Source organism: Homo sapiens, chromosome 11 (assembly GCF_000001405.40).
Source record: "Homo sapiens chromosome 11, GRCh38.p14 Primary Assembly".
NCBI lineage: Eukaryota > Metazoa > Chordata > Mammalia > Primates > Hominidae > Homo > Homo sapiens.
Genome location: NC_000011.10, coordinates 35,980,680 through 36,003,097, shown reverse-complemented (window position 1 = coordinate 36,003,097; position 22,418 = coordinate 35,980,680). Strand labels below are relative to the sequence as shown.

Here is a 22,418-nt window from a genome sequence, read left to right as displayed (position 1 = left end):
ATTAAACTTGGAATTCTTGAGCACTCAAAGTTATGACCTCAATCCTGACTTCAGGAAATTGCACATTCTTTGTCTTAATTGGAAATGTGTACGGTTTTCCCTAACAAAATGTGATGATAACGTAATAACACATGCAAGGTTACTCTATATGCCAGAAAGCTAAGGGATAAAATGGGCACTGTTGTACGGGAAATAGCTGTTCTTACATATTCCATTTGTAGGATGCCTGTGAGCTTCTATGGCATAAATGCCACCTTATTATTTAGGCAGTCCATCTCTAATTCTTTTCTACTGGAAAGTGGGAAGCAATGTGGTAGGTGTGCCAAAGGGGCCCTTCTCCAGTGAAGCAAGCCAGGCTAAAATCATTTTTGCAAGCTATTTATCAGGAATAACATTTCTGACTTCCTCTGACCTTGTCCAGTTCGATGACACTCACTGTCCTAAAGCCAAGTGAGGTTCCAGTGGACCCTCCCCAGTCCAGGACGGGCCTGATGAAGACCTAGTGTGACCCTGGGTGGCTGGTAAGATAAGCCAGAGTTAGAAAAAGCACCGGGAGATGATGTTAGCTGAGGGTATCAATGGGGCCTTTGAGATGATCGCACGTGCTCCTCTCCAGGCAGGACAGTCACAGGAACAGAATCATGCAACACCAGCTCTGACTCTAGTCGTTGAAGGGATGATGAGGACGACACAGGAAGGAGTGACAACACATGCACAAAGCAGTGAGCTCCAGGCTCCTGACCTACGGGGCCAGTGCCAGGCAGCTGTCTCTGCTGCAAGCCATTCAACTCTGGAGGAACAAAGGGATGTGGAATTTCTGGGGATTTTTCTGATCAACAGGAATGACTGTTAAGTGTATGCTAGTAATAGCTACAAACCTGTCATTCACAGTGATGTTTGTAACAACAAAAACCTGGAAACAACACAAAGCCCAAAAGCAGGGAGTAGTTAAATAACTTATGGAACATCTACTGGATTCAATTCAATACAGCAATTAAAACTGGTTTAGAAGAAATGCGAAAGCAACCCCCCTAGACGAGGAGCCCCAGCAAAAGGGGCCCTTTGTGTTTTGTAAATGTTAATTAATATTAGAACAGAGCTGCTCACTGGGTCTCAAGTAACCTAAAAGCCTATTGTTTTCAACAACATAAACGACAAAAAATAAAGCTAATAATTTTAAAACTATACTAACCAAAAGAGTTGGGGTAAAAAAGTCTGAGTGAAAACCAAGTTAGAAATGCTTTTAATGAATAGAAAAATGTCCGCTGTATATAAAATTTAAAAAGAACGTTACAAATTATGTGCACACACACACACACACACACACACACACACACACGTATACAATATAACTGAAAGAATACTATGCCAACATTTTCTGAATGATAGGATTACTGGTGATTTTTATTTTCTTCTTTCCAACTGTATTTTCTAAAACAAAGAACAATAAAAACAGCAACAAAAGCCCTTTTTTATTTTTTACGATTGTAGGGGAGGTTAAAGACCACCACAGAAACAAACTGCCAAACAGTAAGTCAAAGTAGGTTGAGCTTTGATTCTGAAGCAACCATTTCACCCAAATTATTAGATTAAAAGATTTTTTTATAAAGAAACTACTCAGGTAAACATACATGGAGCTCAATAAAGAATTCCTCTACAGAATCTTTCTGTAATAAGTGTCATCCTAGTTTGTACTTTGGAAATATAATAGATATTTTACATATCAAGAACACAGACTTGGGGGAGCGGGGAGGGATAGCATTAGGAGATATACCTAATGTTAAATGACGAGTTAATGGGTGCGGCACACCAACATGGCACATGTATACATATGTAACTAACCTGCACGTTGTGCACATGTACCCTAAAACTTAAAAGTATAATAAAAACAAAAACAGAATACAGACTTACAACTGACAAGCCAGACTCTAGGAAATGACCACCTTCTCCTTGGAGTCATTTTTTTCTCCAAGCTCTCTTTCTGGCTGTCATCTATTTTTCCAGGCACTTTCCTGCGAAAGAAAGTACCACTGAATAGAGAGAACACACAACCCTCAAGGTATGGGTAAACCAGTTCTACCACTTCAACAGCCAACACTCCTTGAGTGTGAAGGACTCAGTGCTAGGGACTCCTGCAGAATCTAACCACACATTTCCCATCCTTCCCACGTGTCTCTGCTTCCCTGGGGACCCTCTGAAGCATCCCCTACCCGCCCACCTCTGGCTCTCAACCCACTCTGCTGGAACCACTACAGCAGCCTCCTATCCAGCCTCCTGGCCCCCAAGCTCCTTCCCTCTCCAGCCCTTCCCACACCGAGGATGGGTCATGTCACCATCTCCATGTCACGCGCCCCAGCTTGAAGACTCATGGCCTGCATGACCAAGGTTCCACCTGCCTTCCTACTTTCATCATCCAGGATATTTCCTCCCAACAAACTAAGTTCCAGACACCCCAAACAACCTCCCATTCTCTAGACATACCGTTTAACAGCATTAAATATTTCACACATATAAAGAAATATAGTTAACATAATAAATGCTCATGGAACCAGACCCCAAATTCATAAATTTTAGTATTCTGCCATCATTTCCTATCTTTTTTAAGTAATAAAATATTACTGAGATGGATGGTTGAAAAGACCCTCTCACCCATCTTCCTTTCTCTTTGTTCCTTTCCCATTTTAACCACAATCCCAGTGTGTATCTGCTTTACAACTCATTTTCTACTTTTACCACATACATTTCAACTGTGTGTGTATGTGTGTACAGACATAAAACACTATACATGGTGTGTATTTATATTATATATGTTATATATTATATATACATATATTACACTATATAGTATATAGCATGTATACATATATTACACATATATACAAAAATATATGCTATATAATATGTACATACACACATACACAGAGTTTTGTGTGCTTTTAAAATAAACTCAAGTGGCATTATACCATATAGATCCTTCCTTTTACCTACTCTAAAGTCTCCTTAGAGATTTATCTGCATCGATGTGTGAGGATCTAGCCTATTCATTTTCGTTGCTGGATAGCATTCCACTTCATAGTAGTACCGTAATTTATTTACCCAGTCCCCTGAGATGGATAATGAGGCCATTTCCAATGTTTACCACTGCAGACAGACCTGCAATGAGCATCCTTGTAAATGTCTCCATGGGCACAGGCAGAGACCTTCTCTGAGCAATAATGTTGCATCCACAGGATGCAAGGATCACCCTGCCTGGATATTACTAGGCCTGGGGCCCTCATGAGTAGGTCACCATCATCCCTTGGGGAGGACCCTGCCATGGCTGACAGCACCACAGGGGGCCTTTGATCCAACAGGAGATTTCCAGGAGGCCAGTGACACACGTGGAGCTCCAGAAAAGACAAAGAGGTGATACACCCCTCCCTTTGGGTCTTCAGAATTAGTGCACTTTGGGTTAGCCAAAGGAGCTGAATGGAAGAGCGTGAGGGAGACTTGGGATTGGGCAGGTCGTGGACATGAAGCCTGGAGAAAGTAGTGGGTAGGATGAGAACGCAGCCGCCTCCAATGAGAAGCCAAGAACACCAAGAAGGAGTGAATCTGCAGGCAGCAGGAGAGATGAGGAGGGGCAGGCTCGGTTCTGGAGAGGCTTGTGGCTGCAGCCAGGCCCCTGGAGCAGTCCTGCTTTAAACGCCGTTTCTCCGGGTAATCTGGCTGACTCTCAACAGAGAGGACATTCTTCAAGGATCAGTAATGCCACCACTACCATGAGGCTACTCCAGTCCAACCAACTGAAGGAACCTCTGCATCCTCAGGGTCGCAGCACTTTCCTGCACCTCTTTTATAACATACATTCGGTTCTAGGCTGCACCCAGTTAACTGATTGTAAGTCTGTTCTCTACACAGATCATAAAGGCCCCATGAACACACACATTCTGCCACTAACCTGTCTCCCGTGCAATACCAAGCACAGGGCTTTTTGCACACAGTAGGTGCCCAATCGATGTTTCGTGACTGAATAAAAGCTGTGAGCTCCTTAAAAGCAGAGCCCATGTCCTCTTCATTGTTATCACACATCCAGGGCTTTACACAGTGTCAGGTATAGAGTTGGCCCTCATTAAATGTGTCCTGAACGAATGACTGAAATGTGGGCTTACATGAACAAATGCATCTGCCTGAACGACTCTCCCAGGACTCATACCAATGATCAAATTTCAAAGTGGAGGTGACCAGGCCAAAGGATAATTTATCTCCCTAAAGACGCTAAGTGTCAGTTAAATTGCTCTATTTAATAGGGCCTGACTTAGATGGGCCATTTCGAACAAAAGCAATAACCGCTCTAGTAATGAGCCTACTTTAAAGTGCTATTACTATTACTACTCCGAATCCAGAGGATTCCTGGAGCCATCAGACCAAGACCCTAATTAGAGATCTGCAACCTTCATAAACCACAGACCCCTGGGCTCACATCTTTGACCTCCCTGGAACCACAGAGGATATTTTCCAAGTGAATCCAGGATACTCCTCTCCAGAGGTTCATTCTAGGACTGTTTTTTGTTTTGTTGTTTGATTGTTTGTTTGTTTGTTTAGATCAGCCTGCCCAACAGGCTCTGAGCATTTCACATAGCTGAGCACACAAGCCTGACAAAGGGTGAATATGCTTGGCTGAAAGGAGCCTGGCAGGGAAGGCCTCAGAGAATCAATCTAGAATTAAATGTGTGGATTCTACTTCATGGGTGCATCCAATGTTCATTGGCCACTAGGAGCGTTTGCAAGCATCAGAGAAGAGGGAGGAGGAAAAATGCCTTTCTCTGCCACAACAGATGATAATCTCTGACAGACAACAAGAACAAAAAACAAACACATATTGAAAGCATATGACTAGGAAATTTGCACTACCAAAAATCAGCTCAGAGTTCCCCCTTTAAAAAGGAGGTGGTAAACACCTCCTCAGCCTCAGTAATCCCAGGGTTAGAGAAAAAGGAAATGAAAGACAACACCTGGGGGAGTCCCATGTTAACAGGTGGTGCAAGCACCCTCCTCCAGTGAACGCCCTGACCCTGTCCCTGGCTGCCACCTGGCTGAGTCAACTCCCTTCTAGAGAAGACCGTCCAATCTGAAAAGGCAGCAAAGGCCCAGTGCCCTCGCCACAGCCTCTTCTAGAAACCCGACATCTTCAGCCAATTATCAGATGACAGCGAAAAGACAGGAGGCCAGAGTCCGACAGACCTGAACTCCAGTCCCAGCCCCACCACTTTGCAGCTGTGACCCTTGAATTCATAATCTAGTTAAGCCTCACTTTCCTGATCTGTAAAATAGGAATAAGAATAGTCTCCACTTTTGGCTTTCGGCTTGGAGGAGGCCAAGGTGCAACTTTATTGGGTCATCCTGAATCCAGGTTCATCTGACACCAGCTGCCTCCAGCACACCACTGAAGTTCAACCCCAACAAGATCAAAGTCGTATACCTGAGGTGTACCTTGGATAAAGTTGATGCCATGTCTGTGCTGGCCCCCAAGATTGGCCCTCTGGGTATGTCTGCAAAAAAGGTTGGTGATGACACTGCCAAGGCAACCGGTGACTGGAAGGGTCTAAGGATTATAGTGAAACTGACCATTCAGAACAGACCCAGAGTGAGGTGGTACCATCTGCCACTGCCAGAAGGGTTTCTGCAAAGCCCTCAAGGAACCACAAAGAGATGGAAAGAAACAGAAAAACATTAAACACAATGGAAATATCACTTTTGATGAGATTGTCAACATTGCTTCACAGATGTGGCACTGATCTTTAGCCAGAGAACTCTCTGAAACCACTAAAGAGATCCTGGGAACTGCCCAGTCTGTGAGCTGCAATGCTGATGGCTGCCACTTCATGACATCAACAGTGGTGCAGGTAGAATCCCCAGCTAGTTAAGAAGCACAAAGGAAAACATTTCAATAAAGGATCATTTGACAACTAAAAAAAAGAAACAAAAGTTTCCACCTAATCATAAAAATAGCCATCATTTTATGGCCCATTTTGTATGCCAAGTGCTGTATGTGTATTACTTTATTTTCAGCCATCCATCATTCCATGAGGCAAGGACATCACTGTCCTTGTTTGACATGAGAAACTAAGGCTTAGAAAGGCAGACACTATATTCCCAAAGGTACATGGTTAACCCATTCCCAAAGCTGCATGGAGGAGTCCAGACTTGAACCAGGTCTGCCAAAGTTTGGCAATATCGTACCTACTGTACTGAGATGTTGGAAGAATTTGGATGAGACAACCCACACTGTGCACAGGGGCTGGCACATTTAACCAAAAACAGTTAACTGTTATTGTTTTACTCATTATGATTTATATTTGTGGCTTTGATTCCCTTCATCATGGTCCTTGCTCCTGGCCCTCTCAATCAGGTGAGAACATCAATTATTGATCTAAAGAACAGACCTCCACTCGATATAGAAACTGTGCAGGCAAATCTCATTTTGCTGTGCTTCACTTTATTGAGCTTCATAAGTATTATATTTTTCACAAACTGAAGGTCTATGGCAATCCTGAACGCAGTAAGTCTACCAGCACTATTTTTCCAACCTCGTGTGCCACTTCATGTGTTTGTATCACATTTTGGGAATTCTCATAATATCTCAAACTTTTTTATTATTATTATATCTGTTCTGGTGACCTGTGATCAGTGATCTTTGATGTTATCATTGCAAACATTTTGGGGCACCTCAAACCACACCCATATAAGACAACAACTTCATCAATAAATACATGAGCTCTTACTACCCCACCATCAGGCCGTTCCCCAATTTCTTTACCTCTCCTCGGGCCTCCCTATTCCTTGAGACGCAACAATAATGGAATTAGGCCAGTTAATAATCCTACCATGGCCTCTAAGTGTTCAAGAGGAAGAAAGCGTTGTACATCTCTCACTTTAAATCAAAAGCTAGAAATGGTTAAGCTTAGTGAGGAAGGCATGTCGAAAGCCAAGACAGGAAGAAAGCCAGGCCTCTTGGGCCAAACACTTAGCCAAATTATGAATGCAAAGGAAAAGTTCTTAAAGGAAATTAAAAGTGTTACTCCAATGAACACACAAATGATAAGAAAGCAAAACAGCCTTATTGCTGATATGGAGGAAGTTTTAGCGGTCTGGAGAGAAAAATCAAACCAGCCATAGCATTCCCTTAAGCCACAGCCTAATCCAGGGCAAGGCTCTAACTCTTCAATTCTAGAATGCTAACGAGGTGAGAAAGCTGCAGAAGGAAAGTTTAAAGCTAGCAGAGATTGGTTCATGAGGTTTGTGGAAGGCAGCCATCTCTGTAATATAAAAATACAAGATGAAGCAGCAAATACTGATGTAGAAGCTGCAGCAAGTTATCCAAAAGATCTAGATAGCTAAGATCACTGATAACAGTGGCTACACTAAAAACAGATTTTCAATGTAGATGGAACAGCCTTCTTTTGGAAGAAGATGCCATCCAGGACTTTCATATCTAGACAGAATAAGTCAATGCCTGGCTTCAAATTTCACAGGACAGGCTAACTGTCTTGTTAAGAGCTAATGCAGCTGGTGACTTCAAGCTGAAGTGAATACTCATTTACTTTTCTGAAAATCCTGGAGCCTTTAAAAATTATGCTAACTCTAACCTGCCTGCACTCTGTAAATGGAACAACAAAGCCTGGATGACAGTGCATCTGTTTATAGCATGGTTTACTGAATATTTTAAGCACACTGTTGAGACCTACTGCTCAGGAAAAGATTCCTTTCAAAATATTACTGCTCAGTAGCAATGCATCTGGTTACCCACAAGCTCTGTTGGAGACATTCAAGAAGATTAATGATTTTTAATGCCTGCTAACACAACATCCATTCTGCAGCCCAGGGATCAAAGAGTCATTCCAACTTTCAAGTCTTATTTAGGAAATACATTTTTAAGGCTATATCTGCCATTGATACTGATTCCTTTGATGGATATGGGCCAAGTAAATTCAAAACCTTCTGGAAAGGATTCACCATTTCAGATGACATTAAGAACATCTGTGATTCGTGGGAGGTCAAAATATCAACATCAACAGGAGTTTGGAGGAAACTGATTCCAACCCTCACAAATGACTTTTAGGTGTTCAAGACTTCAGTCAGGGGAGTAACTGCAGATGTAGTGGAAAGAGCAAAAGAACTAGAATTAGAAGTGGAGCCTAAAGATGTGACTGAATTGATGCAATCTCAGGAACAAATTTAATGGATGAGGAGCTGCTTCTTACAGATGAGCAAACAAAGTGGCTTCTTGAGATGGAATCTAGTCCTGATGGAGATGCTATGAACACTGTTGAAATGACAAGGATTTAGAATATTCCATAAACAGCTGGCAAAGCAGTGGCAGGGTTTGAGAAGACTGACTCCAATTTTGAAAGAAGTTGTTCTGCGCATAAAGTGCTATAAAACAGGCATTGCGTGCTACAGAGAAGTCTTTCATGAAAGGAAGAGTCCATTGATGTGGTAAACTTCATTGTAATCTTATTTTAAGAAAATGCCACAGCCACCCCAACCTTCAGCAACCACTACACTGATCAGTCAGCAACCATCAACACTGAGGCAAGATCCTATACCAACAAAAAACATTAAAACTGACTGAAGGCTAGATGTTCATTAGCACTTTCTAGCAATAAAGTATTTTTAATTAAGGTATATACTTTTTTTTAGATATAATGCTATTGTACACTTAATAGACTACAATATAGTGTAAACATCACTTTTTTTTTTTTTTTTTTTTTTTTTTTTTGAGACAAAGTCTCTCTCTGTCCCCCAGGCTGGAGTGCAGTGGCACTATCTCGGCTCACTGCAAGCTCTGCCTCCTGGGTTCATGCCATTCTCCTGCCTCAGCCTCCTGATCACTTTTATATATACTAGGAAACCAAAAAGTTCATGTGACTCACTTTATTGTGGTGGTCTGGAACTGAACCCATGGTATCTCTGAGGTATGGTAGGCTCCCGGAACCCTGCTGAAGTACAGGACTGTTCTTCCTCCCATCTCTGCTCCTATATCCACAGCTGGACTCCTAACTAATCAGAAGCTTCTCTGTTCCTGAGATGGGCACCATTTACCAACACTGAATTCCTTAGGGGTGGGAGAAAAGAAAACCTTTAAATCTATGTGAGTCCTTTAAAATAACGTGGGAAAACGTCCTTCCTGGAGAAGCAAATATTTATGCACATAATTAACTAAGGAGGTAGAGTGTTCTTTCCAAATCTTAAGCAAAACTTGGTGGAAAAAAAACAGACCTGCTTATGAAATGGCCTCTCACAGACACTGGAAGGGGCCACACGTCTGAATCAGCTCATGAATCCTCTCCCTATTAAAAATATACCACTCATCTGGGCTAACCCAAGACTTTTCTGGTACCTCACTCCCTACTCCTCATTTACTCCAGTAAAAATTCTTTTTTTTTTTTTTTTTGTATCTCTGGCCAGGACTGCGCAGTCAGGGCACAATTATCTGATACTGATTCCAGAGCTGCAAGAGAACACCAGCTCCTCTTTTCTCCCTAATGACTTGTATGTCTTTTCTTCATTTTCTATGATCCCCTATCTTAAATTTGACTTTCAGCAGAAGGGCTAGAAGCCAGCAAGCCCTAAGTGGCAGGCAGCTAGAAATTTCTAATGTTTTTACTCTACAGTCCTGAGAAAATAGCATCTATGCTTGAAAAATAAACAAATGGAGCCTCCTCGCTCAGCCAGGGCAATGCACAGGGTGTCAGACACTATGCTCAATGCAAAAATGTGCAGCCAGCCCTTCTCTGTGCCCTGAGCTTCCCTAAGCAATTCACACTATAGGTGAAGGTATTTATAAGGAGGCTATTCCTTGCTGGTACTTTTTTGTTTACCCCCAAATTTGCTCAATCTTTTAACTTGTTTTTAAACACTACCCAACCTCTTAGCTAGCACAGTGAAATGGGAGTCAGAAGAAAGACCCAGTCTGAAGTCTCAACTCAGTCATTTATAAATTGTGTAACCCTGTACTCACTTCTTAAGCACTGGGACGCCATTTTTTAAATCTGTAAAATGGAAAGGAATCCATAAAAGTGTGGATTATGGATTCAGTATCATGGCTCATGTCCAGACACTTTTAAAGAAAAAAATGGAAAAGACTGGAATAAATTAGAATATATCAGATATGAAGGGTATGTTTTGATTCACCTTTATATAAATGTTCTTGTTTGCAATGTAAATGTGATCTTTAACAGCATGACTAAGAGATAAAACTCACACACTATACAATTTACCCATTGAAAGTATACAATGCTATGGCTTTTGGTATATGCAGAGTTGTGCAACCATCACCACAATCAATTTTAGAACATTTCATCACCCCAAAAGGAAACCCCATGCCCATTAGCAGCCATGCCCTATTTCCTCCCAAACCCCCACTCAGCCCTAGGCAACCACCTATCTACTTTCTATCTCCATGTATTTGCCTATTCTGGACATTTCCTATAAATTGAATGATACAATATGTGGTCTTTTGTAACTGGCTTCTTTTCATTTAGCATAATATTTCCAAGGTTCAATCATACTGTAGCATGTATCAGAACTTTGTTCCTTTGTATGGCTGAATAATATCCCATTGTATAGATACACTACATTTTATTTATCCATTCATCCACTGGGGAACATGTGGGTTGTTGCCACTTTCAGGCTATTATGAATGCTGCTATGAACCACCAGCACACAAATTTGTGTGTGGACATACCAATGTGTTTCCATAAGTCACTGTCAACAAAGTTTGATGGCAATAGGCTACAAGATTACTGAGGAATAGTTAAATCACTTTGTGATATTTTTAATCAACTCATGGACCTTGACTTTGGAAAACGAAATAAAGACCATAAAATCAAGGTTGCATTCTTGTTCATGCAGCCACCTGGATCTCTGTGGCCAATACTGCTTTCCTACTATCTTGAAAAACCAGTCATTTCAGAGAAATCTAACCTTTGGAATATGCATCTTCATTGTCCAAAAAGATTGAGACGGGGGCACTTCCATGCTCACAGGAGCTGCTGAACTCTCAGGAGAATTCAGTGATGAATAAATTTCCTTGTTTAAACCAACTCCCATTCCAAGATGTAAATTCCTGCATCATCAGGTTTCAGACAAAGGATACTCACAAGCATACAGCCATACAGCCAGAGGCCAAAACTCTGAGCCTCCCCTGCTACACACACACACACACACACACACACACACACACACAAACAACCATTCAATTTATGAACTGCTCTGCATGCAATGTGACTCCTACAATTGTAGCTATCGAAAAGCTGATGTAAGAAGAGAGGCAATGGTCAAAAGCAGCTCCCTCCACCAGCAAACCTGCATTAATAATTTAGCTATTAACAGCCATGTAACCAAAGAAGCTTACGAGGGAGAGCTCTGCAGAGATCTGTGACACTAGGAACATCCCCGTGCCCACTCCCTTTTCTATTTTCTACTTCAGCAACAGAGACCCAGTTGTTGGAAGAAGCTGTCGCCATTGGAGAAAAGGAACATGACAAATTTGTGAAATCTAAGGAATAAATACAATTCCTATATGCCTTAAATTTATGGCCCTCACAAAGCCTAAAAAATATGATAAACCATTATAGGTTTTTTTCTGTCTTCCCTGGCTGGCCGCAATTAATTTCACCATGTTCCGGCATAATACGGAATGTAATATATGGAGGTAAGACATTTAGAGTCTTGCAGTGAATAAGCCTTCTGCAGTTTGGGGCCCCAGGGGTAAAAGAAGCAATAATAACAGGACTCATTTTGGGTAACCATTTGTGTGCAGTTTCTAGTTTGCATTGTTAAGCAAGACAAAAGTGCCCGAAGGAACCCACAACAGTACTAGGCTAAGTTAGACAAAATCCAAATGCCTAACATATTCTGTAATTGAGATGCATGGGGGCTCTTATACGCAACCTAGAAGAGCATCATGCTGCAAACAGAAGCTGTGCATTACCAAACAACAGAAAATGCTCTGGTTTTATTGATACGATAGCCTCCAAGGTCTGAAAAGACCGCAGAATTCAGTTAGAAAGTTCCATATAGGCACTGCCAAACACTCTACAACAGCAGAACAATGGAAACTATTATTTACTGAAGGCCACCTATGTGTGGATACTGTGTTAGGACTTTGCCATGTTACTGAGGTTAGCACTGAGTCTCCCAAAAAGATATGTTCAAAGCCTAACCTCCAATACCTCTGAATGTGACCTCAATTGGAAAAAGAGTCTTTGCATATATAAAGTTTAAGAAGAGGTCACACTGGATCAAGGTGAGTTCTAATGCAATGAGTGGTATCCTTATAACAAGAGGGAAATTTGGACACAGACAGGGAAGAATACCATGTGAAGATGGAGGCAGAGGCCAGGCACGGTGGCTTACACCTGTAATCCCAGCACTTTGGGAGGCCGAGGCAGGCAGATCATTTGAGGCCAGGAGTTCGAGACCAGCCTGGGCAACATGGCAAAACCCCATCTCTACTAAAAAAAAAAAATACAAAAATTAGCTGGCATGCACCTGTAATCCTAGCTACTCAGGAAGCTGAGGCAGGAGAATCACTTGAACCCAGGAGACAGAGGTGGCAGTTAGCTGAGATCACGCCACTGAACTCCAGCCTGGGTGACAGAGCGAGATTCCATCTCAAAAAAAAAAGATGGAGGCAGAGATTGAAGTTATGCAGCTGCCAGCCAAGGAATGCCACAGATTCCTGGTGACCACCAGAATCTAAGAGAGAAGCATGGAGTAGATTCTCCCTCAGAGCCTCCAGATGGAACCAGCCCTACAAACACCTTGATTCAAACTTCTCTCTCCACAACTGTGAGAGAGTAAAGTGTCCACTGTTTTAAACCACCCAGTTGGTAAGAATTTGTTACAACAGCCTTAGGGAACTAACATTACTATAAATAAAATCCTTACGGCAACCCTGAGAGCTGGGCATTTTCAAACCACCCCCCATGCCTTTATAGGTGATGGAAAAACTGAGACTCAACATAATGTCAAAATCACATAGAGAACAAATGGAGGAATCAGGCCCCTAGGCTGTATAACTCTAAGTAAACCCCAAGCCCAAACTACTAGCTAAGAGGCACCAAATATTGCCATTGTGTCTGTAGAGTGGTTTTCCTATGAGGTTTTCAGATGATCCCTGGAAGTCTTAGCAGAGCAATCAGGCAAGAGAAAGAAAGGAAGGGCATCCAAATAGGAAAAGAAGATGTCAAGCCATCTCTCTTCACTGACAATATGATTCTATACCTAGAGAACCCTAAAGACTCCAACAAAAGGCTCCCAGAACTGATAAACAACTTCAGTAAAGTTTTGGGATACAAAATCAATGTACAAAAATCAGTAGCATTTCTACCCACCAATAACATTCTAGCTGAGAGTCAAATCAAGAACACAATCCCATTTATAATAGCCACAAAAAATTAACAAATAAAATACATACCTAACCAAGATATATTCCTTGGTTAGGAATACATATAACTAAGCAGGTGAAAGATCTCTATAAGGAGAATTACAAAACACTGCTGAAAGATATCATAGACACAAACAAACAAACAAAACCTTCCATGCTCATGGATTAGAATAATCAACATTGTTAAAATGGCCATACTGCCGAAAGCAATCTACAGATTCAATGCTAATCCTATCAAACTACCAATGTCATTTCCCACAGAATTAGAGAAAAGTAATTCTAAAATTCATATGGAACCAAAAAAGAGCCCAAAGAGCCAGAGCAATCCTAAGCAAAAAGAACAAAGGTGCAGGCATCACATTACTGGACTTCAAACTATACTATAGGGCTACACGAACCAAAACAGCATGGTAATGGTACAAAGACAGACACATAAACCAATGGAACAGAAGAGAGAACCCAGAAATAAACCTGCACACCTACAGCCATCTGATCTTTTACAAAGTCGACAAAAATAAACAATGGGGAAAGGACTTCCTATTCAGTAAACGGTGCTGGGATATCTGGCTAGCTATAAGCAGAAGAATGAAATTGAACACCCATCTTTCACTATATACAAAAATTAACTCAAGATAGAGATTTAAATATAAGACCACAAACTATAAGACTCCCAGAAGAAAACGTAGGAAATACTATTCTGGACATCAGTCTTGGCAAAGAATTTATAGCTAAGTCCTCAAAAGCAACTGCAACAAAAACAAAAATTGACAAGTGGGACCTGGCCAGGCATGGTGACTCACGCCTGTAATCCCAGCACTTTGGGAGGCCGAGGTGAGCAGATCAAGAGGTCAGGAGACCGAGATCATCCTGACAAACACAGTGAAACCCCAACTCTACTAAAAATACAAAAAATTAGTAGGGCATGGTGGCATGTGCCTGTAGAGCCAGCTACTTGGGAGGCTGGGGCAGGAGAATCGCTTGAACCCAGGAAGTGGAGGTTGCAATGGGCCAAGATCGCACCACTGCACTCCAGCCTGGGTGATAGAGCAAGACTCCAACTCAAAAACAAAAAAAAAATTGACAAGTGGGACCTAATTTAACTAAGGAGCTTCTACATAGCAAAAGAAACTATCAACAGAGTAAACAACCTATAGAATGAGAGAAAATATTCACAAACTATGCATCCCACAAATGTCTAATATCCAGAATCCATAAGGAACTTAATTCGAAAAGCAAAAATCAAATAACCTCATTAAAAAGTGGGCAAAAGACACGAACAGCCACTTCTCAAAAGAAGACATACAGCCAGGCACACTGGCTCATGCCTGTAATCTCAGCACTTTGGGAGGTTGAGGTGGGAGAATCACTTGAGCCCAGGAGTTCAAGACCAGCCTGGGCAACATAGTGAGACCCCATCTCTACAAAAAATAATTTAAAAATTAGCAGGCATAGTGGCGCATGCCTGTAGTCCCAGCTAATTGGGAGGCTAAGATGGGAGGATGGCTTGACCCGACGAGATTGAGACTGCAGTGAGTTGTGACCATGCCACTGCACTCCAGCCTGGGTGACAGAGTGAGACCATGTCTCAAAAAACAAACGAACAAAAAAGAAGGCATACAAGTGGCCAAGAAACATATTTTTAAAAATGTCATTAGAGAAATGCAAATCAAAACCATAATGAGATACTATCTCATACCCGTCAGAATGACTATTATTAAAAAGTCAAAAAACAACAGATGCTGGTGAGGCTGTGGAGCAAACGGAACGCTTATACACAGTTGATGGGAATGTAAACTAGTTCAGCCACTGTGAAAAGCAGTTTGGAGATTTCTCAAAGAGCTTAAAACAAAATTACCATTTGACTGACCCAGCAATCTCATTACCAGGTATATATATAAAAGAAAATAGATCATTCCACCAAAAAGACACATGCACTCGTATGTTCAACGTAGCACCATTCACAATAGCAAAGACATGGAATCAAACTAGGTGCCCATCAACAATGGATGGGATAAAGAAAATATGGTACATATACACCATGGACTACTACATACACAGCCATAAAAATAACAAAATCTTGTCCTCTGCAGCAACATGGATGCAGCTGGTGGCCATTATCCTAAGTGAATTCATGCAGGAACAGAAAACCAAATACCGTATGTTCTCATTTATAAGTGAGAGCTAAATATTGGGTATTCATGGACATAAACATGGCAACAACAGACACTGGAGACTGCTAGACAGAGGAGGAAGGGAGCAGGGCAAGGGCTGAAAAACTAAGTATTGGGTACTAAGCTCACTACCTGGGTGATGGGATCAATCATGCCCCAAACCCTAGCATCTTGCAATACCCTCATGTTACAAACCTGCACAGGTATCCCCTGTATCTAAAACAAAAGTTGAAATTATTCTTTAAAAAGATGATCCCTAAAAATATGCAGACTTCAGTAGTTTCTTGCCAGCAAGATATACAAATGTGTCATAACAAGATATACAAATGTGTCATAGCTGGTACTTGACCCACCTCCACCACAGGAGGCATGAATATTCTCTTTAGGCAGACAACTACATTAGCAAAATTCTAAGTGAAGCAGCCCCGTGAATGAGACGAATACTCAAACAGATTTTAAATGCCTCATTCATTCAACTCAACTAACCTTTGCTGAGTGCTGAGAAAAGTGTGAGGCAGACAGCCCGGTGTGAGAGATCTAGAGATACAGCCCTTGACTTTGAAGAGCTCAAGTCTTCATTTTCTCTAGTAAATGGGCCCAACACTACTCATGCCTGAGCTTTTACTCAGATTCAATGAACTAATTACCAAAAGGTGTGCTCTGCATCATCTGTGGCAGAGAGTGATACTCATCTGACAGTCCTCCCATTTCCCAGGTTAGGCAGGGCCACGTGACTAGTTTGGGTCAATGGAATGTGCAGAAAGGGGACATGTATCACTTTTAGGGTGAACAGAGGAGCTGGCAACAACAGGTCCTGCAATCTCTTCTCCTGCTGTGGCAATGTTGCAGACGGTGGAGTCTCAATCAGCCAGGAGAAAGTGACCAAGACAGGTAGAGCCCTCGCCCACTACTGCCATCCAATCTGCAGGGGCTTTTGTGTGAAAAATAGGCTTCTATGTGTTAAACTTTCCAGGAAGTTTGTTACCACAGCACAGACCTCTCCTACCCTGACTAACACATTATCTAACACATGTCCTTACATAAGCATATCACAATAAATAACAGGTTAAATTCCAAGATAAAACCACATTAATTCTTGGAGCCTGAACATCAACAATATTCTGGTAGAGAGAATTTACCATATATTGTACAAGTTCTGTTCACATTTCTTTTCTTCTATATCAAAGAGACACAAAAATAAAACGAAATAAATTATCTCTCCTTTAACCAATCCGGGGCATTGCATATACAAAATGTTTTCAGAATTCAGCCTCTTCCTAGAGATAATCAGCCACTGTCCAGTTGCAATCCCAATGGCCCTTTATGCAGAGATTTTTGTCTTATTTTTGTGGCCCCTAACCTAGATGGATCTGGATCTTCCTGGATCCAACAAATGCTTGGGATATGAATGTCTCTCATGAACAACGGCAGCATTCTCACAAAAAGTCATCAACATAAGTCTCTCGTCAAATACTCATCTGTCCAGACTGGCCTCAGGGTACTGTCTCCTGCCCTCTCCTTGGGCACAACCCAGCCTAGATTTTGCACCTTCCACACACCATAAATTGAACTCCACTGTATTAGTCTGTTCTCACGGTGCTAATAAAGACATACCCGAGACTGGGTAATTTATTTAAAAAAAAAAAAAGGCTTAATGGACTCACAGTTCCACATGGCTGGGGAGGCCTCACAGTCATGGCGGAAGGTGAAGGAGGAGCAAAGGCACATCTTACATGGTGGCAGGCAAGAGAGCCTGTGTAGGGGAACTGCTCTTTATAAAACCATCAGATCTTGTGAGACTTATTATTCACTATCACGAGAATGGCATTGGAAAAACCTGCCCCCGTGATTCAGTTACCTCCCACCAGATCCCTCCCACAACACGTAGGGATTATGGGAGCTACAATTCAAGATGAGATTTAGGTGGGGACACAGCCAAACCATATAATTCACCAAAGTATCTCCCACATTTGCCTCCCTCAGGGACCAAGAGACTGACTAGAGCCCAGGTACTAAAAGGCTCCAGGGCAGAGTTTCAGCCTACCATCCCAATGGCCAGAGAGTCCCACCATCTCAGCAAGACCACCTTACGGAATCTGCAAAAATATCCTCTCCCCGAGTCTACTCCATTTCCTAACTTGTCTAAAAGGAAAAGCTCAAAATGCTAGAGATTTACTAACTCCAAGAGAGACATGCAATAGGGAATCCACAGAACCAGACAGTGGAAGGGTACAGGAAGCACCAAGTCAAGAACAATAATGGATCTGACATGTTGGCTGATGCCCATAATCCCAGCACTTCAGGGAACAAAGGTGAGTGAATTGCGTGAAGCCAGGAGTTCGAGATCAGCCTGGGCAACAAAGGAAGAGCTCATCTCTACAAAAACTGTAAATAAAAAGTGAGCCTGGCATGATGGCATGCACGAGTAGTTCCCTGCTACTTGGGAGGCTGAGGTGGGAGAATCGCTTGAGCCCAGGAGTTCGAGGCTGCAGTGAGCTATGTTCATGCCACTGCACATAGTGGGACCCTGTCTCAGGGAAAAAAAAAAAAAAAAAAAGAACAGGCAGGATGCGGTGGCTCACGCCTGTAATCCCAGTGCTTTGGGAGGCCAAGGCGGGCAGATCACCTGAGGTCAGGAGTTTGAGACCAGCCTGACCAACATGGAGAAACCCCGTCTCTACTAAAAATACAAATTAGCCAGGCGTGGTGATGCATGCCTGTAATCCCAGCTACTCGGGAGGCTGAGGCAGGAGAATCGCTTGACCCCGGAAGGCGGAGGCTGCGGTGAGCCAAGATCACATCATTGCACTCCAGCCTGGGCAACAAGAGCGAAACTCCATCTCACAAACAAACAAACAAAAAGAACAATGAAGTTTAAATGTGCTCTGCAGCCCCAGAGCCTGCTTGGTGAGAATCTTGGTGAAGGGACACAGAACCAAAGAGCTCACCCCACCCGACTCCCATCTAACCAAAGCGGTACAGATGACCTGTTTCACACATTAGCTTTGATGTAAAGATTTCCTTGCTGAAAAGTCACTTGCTGCTGAAAGTGGCTTAGACTGTGGGACTCCCAGCTCTCCATCTGTCTGTCCTTGGACAAATCAGTTGACCTCTCTGAGACCCAGATCCCTTCTCTATAAACCAGGGCAATAAACCACTTCACAGGCCTAGCATGAGGATTAACAGAAGTAATTATGAAAAAAAAAATGCCTAATGCATTGTGGGCGGTCAACAAATGTTCCTTCTCTTCCCCATAAACATAAACACTGGCCAAATAAGTCAGCTGCACATGAGGCTGAAGATGTTTATTTTGCAATTAGTAGTGTGAGGGCCCTTTCTAAAATGTTTGCTGGGAACCCAAAATCTCTAGGTAAATCAGTATGTCATGCTGTTTTCCCAAAAATGGAGCAATCTATTTCAACAAGTACTTAATGAGCACCAAGAAGACATCAGATTTCTCAACAAGCAGAAAAAATCCTTCATCATTAGCAAACTTTTTCTTCTTATAAGGACATTTGTCATTGGCTTTAGATAATCCAGCATGACCTCTTCTCAAGATCTTAACTTGGCCAGGCACAGTGGCTCACGCCTGTAATCCCAGCACTTTGGGAGGCCGAGGCAGGCGGATCACTTGAGGTCAGGAGTTCGAGGCCAGCCTGGCCAACGTGGTGAAACCCCGTGTCTACTAAAAATACAAAAGAATTAGCCTGGCGTGCACCTGTAATCCCAGCTACTCAGGAGGCCGAGGCAGGAGAATCACTTGAACCTAGGAGGCAGAGGTTGCAGTGAGCTGAGATCGCACCACTACACTCCAGCCTGGGTGACAGAGCAAGACTCTGTCTAAAAAACAAATAAATAAATAAATAAAAATCCTTAACTTAATTACCCTTTTTCCAAATAAGGTCAGATTCACAAGTTCTGAGTGCACATACCTTGACCGCCACACACCCCCCTACAGGGGTCTAGGTGTTGCCATCTGAACGGTAAGCCAGCCAGTGAGAGCACTGCATGCCAACCTCCTTCCAAACCTTCAATCTAGCCTCATAGCCCAAACAGGTCCATGCGGTTTGTTATATGGATACGGGGAGAGAGCAGTGACCAGAAATATAATGCAAGCCACATATGTAATTAAAATGTTTCTAGTAGCCACATTACAAACAGGTAAAAAGGAACAGGTAAAATTAATTTTGATGGTATCTTTTATTTAATCTATACACCCAATATAGGGTTGATATATGATCCTTATCTTCAATGTGTGTATGACGGAGGTAAGGAAATAAGGCTCAAATATATTTAATAATCAAGCAAGTTCCCAGGATTAGTTCAAAAGCAGCAACTGGCCAGGAGCGGTGGCTCACGCCTGTAATCCCAACACCTTGGGAGGCCAAGGCGGGTAGATCACTTGAGGTCAGGAGTTCAAGACCAGCCTGGCCAACATGGTAAAACCCTGCCTCTACTGAAAATACAAAAATTAGCCAGGCATGGTGGTGCACACCTGTAGTCCCAGCAACTCGGGAGGCTGAGGCAGGAGAATCACTTGAATCTGGGAAGCAGAGGTTGTAATGAGTTGAGATTGCGACACCGCACTGCAGCTTGGACGACAGAGCAAGACTCCGTCTCAAAAAAAAAAAAAAAAAAAAAAAGCAGCAAACAGGCCTAAACACAGACACAAGAAATGTCACAAGCAGTGGCCTTGGGAAAGGAATGGAATGCACATGGGTATAATGAATTCAGAAGAAAAGGCCACCTTAGAGAGAGCTGAGCTGTCTTCAAGCTGCACAACAACATGCATGGGAAGAGAGGAAGGGGGATGACAGACTGTGGGGCAAGTGGCAGCTACCCAGACATGCCCTTGAGTGGATTTTTAAAAGGCACACCTTCTGGGCATGCACAGTAAGTCCATGGCTTCATGAGTAGGCTACTTTGTGCAAATTAGCACATATTAGTTATGGGTTGAAATGTGTCCCCCAAAAACAGTATGCCGGAGTCCTAACCTCCAGTTAACTCAGAATGTGGCCATATTTGGAGACAGGATCTTTACAGAAGTGATCGAGTTAAAATGGGGTCATTAAGGTGGGTCCTAATCCAACATGACTGGCGTCCTCATAAAGAGGGGATATTTGTACACAGAGACAGACCTGTACAGAGAGAGAGTGATGTGGAGACACACAGAGAACATAATGTCACGACGAAGGCAGAGACCAAGGGAATGCTGCCCAAGGAACGACAAAGAGTGCCAGAAAGCCACGGGGAGCTAGGGAAAGGCACGGAACAGATTCTCCCTCACCACCTGCAAATGGAACAAACCCTGCAGACACTTTGATGTAGAACTTCTGGCCTCCAGAACTGTGAGACAATAAATTTCTGTTGTTTAAGCCACTCGGTCTTGCTACTTTGTTACACCCACTCCAGAAAACTATTTAATAATATAGTGCCTGTTCCTGAGTGCAGGCACACAACTTGGCCCTGAACGTAGGACTAACTGCTGCAACCCAGAACAGCCGAGGAAACAACACTGGTGATGGAAGGCCCAAAGAGCTCCGACTCCCAGGCTACACGGCCAAGTAAGAAGGAATCGTCCTTTAGTTTTCAGTGGAAGAACCAAAAGCAGAAAATACAGCTTTTCTAACATGCAACAAAAGCATGCCTCAAGCACCCAAACGCTCACCCCCACAGTGTGTTCTCAGCCTGTGCTGAGCAGGGCTACAGCTGGTTCCTGTCGAAAGCTAAAGCCAGGGAAATGCCAACTTGATGGGAGATGCCAAGCACCCTTGCATTTCCAAGTCTATCCTGCCAATGCGACTTTGGCAAACTGCAGGCAAGGAGAAGGCCCTACTGAAATCGACTTCCTTTTCTAAAGAGAAAGAGAAGGTCACAGCATCAGGACCATCTAAATGAACATTAAAGAAGTGTACTCCTAAAAAAATCTGAGGATCTGAAAACAAATCTTTTCATCAGCGTGTGCACCAGCTATCAGAATCTGAGATATTCATGAGTTATTTTTCTGTTCTTAATACTAACAGCCAAGGACACCCCCATTGTTCTTGTTTGTTTTTCACAAACCTTAACCCACTTAATCCCCACAGCCACCCACTGAGGTCGTTATTGCCTCCATTTTGCAAATGAAGACACTGAGACCAGGAAGGTTAAGTGACATGGCCAAGGTCACATAGCTGAGAAACAGACAGCAAAGTTATAGTCCCAAGTTACTCTGCCTGCAGAGTTCTGGTTGTCACCACAAAACCCTCCCTCCCTCTGACTCAGCCCCCCCACCCCCAACCCCCGCCCGCTGCCCACTGCCCTCACGTTTCCCAAAAGTATGGCCTAATGACGTGAGCATTTAGGAAATAGAAGTGAAAGGTCCAAGTCACAGCTGTAAGTGGACCATGGCCCCAAAGGGAAACTTACTTATATTTGTTTTTCTTCTTCTTCCCGTATGTGAGATTTCCCCCAACCAATCTGAAAACCAAAATCCAAACGAGGAAGTCTTGCCTCCCCTGGGGTCAGCAGTGGCCCGAGGGTCCCCAATAATAGCTTCTAAACTGGGGTCCCCAGACTGTGGGGGATTTCCAAGGTTCCCACCACTAGTTCAAAAGCAGTAACCAAAATTATCCTTTTTCCTAAACACTGGGCAATTGACATATCAAATATCTTTGTTCTTGGCTGAAATCAAAACACATCTGCAAGGCAACAAGAACGACCTCTAAGTAGAAACTCTCATAGCTATATCTGTATTTCATTCATGTTTTAACAATACAAATTATTATTTAATAATTTTGCTATTTCAAAACATCTGGCTAGCGGGGAGAATA

General features: G+C 42.7%; 1 protein-coding gene and 1 pseudogene across 3 annotated transcripts in view, besides 1 other annotated feature; one reads left to right on the top strand and one right to left on the bottom strand.

Moving 5' to 3' along the window:
* The window catches only part of LDLRAD3 (low density lipoprotein receptor class A domain containing 3), a 288,075-nt gene that overhangs the window by 229,039 nt on the left and 36,618 nt on the right, over window positions 1-22,418 (bottom strand). The window lies entirely within an intron of this gene.
* On the top strand, window positions 5,332-5,950 carry RPL12P31 (ribosomal protein L12 pseudogene 31; annotated as a pseudogene).
* Window positions 15,907-16,408: an enhancer, noted in NCBI's record as "NANOG hESC enhancer chr11:36008240-36008741 (GRCh37/hg19 assembly coordinates)". NCBI's record gives its function as "activates a minimal SCP1, AML or CMV promoter by ChIP-STARR-seq in primed H9 embryonic stem cells {active_cell/tissue: H9 hESC(primed)}" and the evidence as "EXISTENCE:reporter gene assay evidence [ECO:0000049][PMID:30033119]".